Source organism: Homo sapiens, chromosome 7 (assembly GCF_000001405.40).
Source record: "Homo sapiens chromosome 7, GRCh38.p14 Primary Assembly".
Taxonomy (NCBI): Eukaryota; Metazoa; Chordata; class Mammalia; order Primates; family Hominidae; genus Homo; species Homo sapiens.
The window spans coordinates 149,028,998-149,033,433 of NC_000007.14; the positions used below are offsets into that span (position 1 = coordinate 149,028,998).

At 42.5% G+C, this 4,436-nt stretch overlaps 1 pseudogene; it reads left to right on the forward strand.

The window, feature by feature from the left end:
• RNU6-650P (RNA, U6 small nuclear 650, pseudogene) lies at positions 4,055–4,169 on the forward strand (annotated as a pseudogene).

The window sequence follows — 4,436 nt, forward strand, 5'->3', positions numbered from 1 at the left end:
GGCGAGCAGGGCGGTCCTCGCAACCCGCCGGGGCTCTGGGAAGCTGGAGACCAACGCGGGCGGAGGAGCACGAGCCTGTTTGTTGCTAGAAAGGGGCTCCAAGTCCGCTGCATGTTCGTGGCCTTCTTAATTTCTTTTTCTGCTCGAGCAAATAAAAGTTTCATTTCTCTCCGGAGTATTGAGCTAGAGAGCGGGGAAGAGCATGCAGTAAAGTGAATCCAGACTAGAATCTGGGGAAGCCTCTCTCCAAGGTTGCATCTCGGAGAAACAAGCCATCAGATTCTTGTCTAAACTTTGCCTCGTCTTATTTAGTTTTCTAGTGATTTTCTGCAAAAGGAAATACCAGATAGGCAATCTAGTGGTTTACATAGATCTGAATAAAAGCTTGAGGTTTTCCCTCTTGACCACTTTGGAGAAGAAAACTAGGTTAAGATGACGATTTTTGTATGTCAGAAAAGAAGCCTGTAATGTGCATTAAGTTTGAGACTTTTTTTTAACACCTGGGAGTTTGAGAAGGCAAATAGGGAAAAGAAAAAAAATAGAAACTCAAGTTCAGGAATATTTTCTCGTGTGTGCAGATTATTACGTGAGGAAGAAAAAAGGGATAACTCACAGACCTTAGCAATTAAAAATACTTAATTTTTTTGTTGAATGCCTATTAATCTGATGGTTCCTGGTCAATTTTGTAGGGCAGAACATTATGCAACTGTACACACTGATTTATTAGAGTGCTATGAATGTGGGCCACCAGACAGTTCGGTATCATGTTATTTTATTTTTTGAGACAAGAGTCTTGCTCTGTCACCCAAGCTGGAATGCAGTGGCGCCATCTCCTCTCACTGCAACCTCCGCCTCCTGGGTTCAAGTGATTCTACTGTCTCAGCCTCCCGGGTAGGTGGGACCACAGGCGCCCGCCACCACTCCCTGCTAATTTTTATATTTTTAGTAGAGACAGGGTTTCACCACGTTGGCCTGGCTGGTCTCAAACTCCTGACCGACCTCAAGTGATCCACCCACCTCGGCCTCCCAAAGTGCTGGGATTACAGGTGTGAGCCACCGTGCCCAGCCTTAATATCATGTTAAAGATAGACCTGTTCTTCAAAAAGACAAGTCAGAGTTCTCATCTTTCTTCTTGTTTCCTATGACACTGTTAAACTGAGAGGAATGAGGACCCCATTTGCTCAGTGGTGGGAGAAACACAATTTCACTGGCCTTTTGTTGATACAAAGATAGGAAGAAGGCTCTTGAAGTGCTGTCTGTATATGTGTATAAACACACATATATCTTGTGACATTAAAGTAACAATGTTCTTTTTGAAAGCATTTAGGGTATAGCTATAGAAGTTCATTCAACAAAACAGAACTTTATCAAGTTGGAAAGCTCCTTTCTCTTTATCCCTAAATTTTTCACTCAATTTTGTTATGGGTACAAACAGCACTGTGTTGAGGGTCAGAATGGAGAGAGATGAGAAATGATACTTCCATGACTATATCCAAGATCTCCACAGTTGGTTGTTGTAAGCGTAGAGAGGCTGTCTGTCAAATCATAGATATGAGGCCGGGCACAGTGGCTCACTCCTGTAATCCCAGCACTTTGGGAGACTGAGGCAGGCGGATCATGAGAGGTGGGGAGTTCCAGATCAGCCTGGCCAACGTGGTGAAATCCTGTCTCTACTAAAAATACAAAATTAGCTGAGCATGGTGGCGCGTGCCTGTAATCCCAGCCACCTGGGAGGCTGAGGAGGCAGGAGAATCACTTGAACCCTGGAAGCGGAGGTTGCAGTGAGCTGGGATTGCGCCACTGCACTCCAGCCTGGGCGACATAGTGAGACTCCATCTCAAAAAAAAAAAGAATCATAGAAACGGACCCTAGTTTGGAAATTCATTCATGTAAATGAACTTCTCCCTGGTTTATCCCCAGAGCTGTGATTTAACACTATTATGCTGGGTTTACAGACCAATTTGAACATGCATTTTCCTCTGCTTCTGCATAGACTTACTAGAGAAGAGGTCACACCACTGCATTCAGCCTGGGTGACAAAGCGAGACCTTATCTCAAAAAAAAAAAAAAAAATCAAAGATCAATCAACTATAAATTTAATCTCTGTAATAGATATAGGGCTATTCAGGTTATTTCTTCTTCAGTGAGTTTCAGTAGTTGGTGGGAATTTGTCCATTTCATATAAGTTGTCAAATTTATTGACATACAGTTTTTGGTGATATTTGCTATGGTCTGAATATCTCCCAAAATTTGTATGTTGAAACGTAATTGCCAATGTGGTAGTAATAAGAGATGGGGCTTTTAGGAGGTGATAAAGTCACGAGGGTAGAGCCGTTATGGATGGAACTGGGGCCCTTACAAAGGGTTTGAGGGAATGGGTTCATTCTCATCACCATGTGAGCACACAGCGTTCATCCCCCATGCCCTTCCATGTTCCGCCTTCTACCATGTGGAGATGTATTAATGACAAGAAGGACCTCACCAGACACTGAATGCCAGCACCTTGATCTTGGACTTCCCAGTCTCCAGAACTGTAAGAAATAAATTTCTGTTCTTTGTAAATAACCCAGTCTATTTTGTTATAGCAGCAAGAATGTGCTAAGAGAATATTCTTCTCTCATGCTTTAAATAACTTTAGAGTCTGTAGTGAGGTCACCTCTCATTATTGATACTGATAATTTTTGTCTTCTCTCTTTTTTAATGATGAGTCAGGCTAATGGTTTATAAATTATATTGGTCTTCTCAAAGAACCAGCTTTTGGTTTCACTGATTTTCCTTATTGTTTTCTATTTTCTATTTCATTGGTTTCCATTTTAATTTATATTATCTTTCTTCTGCTTATTTTAGGTTGTATTTACTGTTTTCTTTATAGTTTCTTAAAGTGAAAGTTGACATCATTGATTCGTGATCTTTCTTCTCCTTTAATATGGGCATTTTGTGCTATAAAATTATTCCTAATTACTGCTTCAGACCTTAAATTAGGCAGGTGGAGATGGTGGCTATAGGGGAGTCTGTGTAAAGAATTAGAATGAGGAGAATTTGAAGAAAAGCAGGTTATTTGGCAAGCTGACATATAGTGAAAGGAGGTGCAGCACGGGATAATAAAGATGGAGAAAGAAGGAGCCAGGCGATAAAAGGTTTAGCTTGAGGGCAGTAAAATATCAGTGAAGTAGGTGAGTGTGGCATGATAATATTTGCATTTTATAAAGATCACTCTGGGGGCCATGTGGGAGCAGATGTGACTAGAGTCAGAAAGACCAAATAGAAGGTGGTCTCACACTAATCTTTTCTTTTTTTTTTTTTTTTGAGACGTTGTCTCACTCTGTTATCCAGGCTGGAGTGCAGTGACACCGTGTTGGCTCGCTGCAACCTCTGTTTCCTGGGTTCAAGCAATTCTCCTACCTTAGCCTCCCAAGTAGCTGGGATTACAGGCGCCCACCACCACACTCAGCTAATTTTTTTATATTTTTAGTAGAGATGGGGTTTTACCATGTTGGCCAGGCTGGTCTCAAATTCCTGACCTCAGGTGATCCACCCGCCTCGGGCTCCCAAAGTACTGGGATTAGAGGTGTGAGCCACCGCGCCTGGCCTGTTCTCACAGTAATCTTGATGACAGATGGTGGTTATAGTTGGGGGTAAAGAAAAGTAGGTAGCCTAGGCCGGGTGCAGTGGCTCACGCCTGTAATCCCAGCACTTTGGGAGGCCAAGGCGGGTGGATCACGAGGTCAGGAGATTGAGACCATCCTGGCTAACACGGTGAAACCCTGTCTCTACTAAAAATACAAAAAAATTAGCTGGGCGAGGTGGCGGGCGCCTGTAGTCCCAGCTACTCGGGAAGCTGAGGCAGGAGAATGGCATGAACCCGGGAGGCGGAGTTTGCAGTGAGCCCAGATAGCGCCACTGCACTCCAGCCTGAGACACACAGCGAGACTCTGCCTCAAAAGAAAAAAAAAAAAAGTTTGATATTCCTTGATATTTTAATATTGAATAATTTTACGGTGCCCTTTTTAAAACTACAGAAGTATTTAGGTGAATTACATTAAATTGTCATCACGTGCTGTCTTTGGCAGCAATATACTAAGAATAAATAAATAATTGGAACGATACAGAGAAGATTAGCATGGCTCCTGGGCAACGATGACACAAATTTGGGAAGTGTTTCATGTTTTAACATAAACCAATCATAAATTCTCATCAAAGCTGACTTCATTGCTATTGTACAAGAAGCCTTATAGAAAGATACATATTCTGTTTTGTTTTTTTTTTTTTTTTTGAGACGGTGTATCACTCTGTCGTCCAGGCTGGAGTGCAGTGGCATAATCTCAGCTCACTGAAACCTCCGCCTCTCAGGTTCAAGTGATTCTCCTGCCTCAGACTCCCGAGTAGCTGGGATTACAGGCATGTGCCACCATGCCCAGCCAATTTTTGTATTTTTA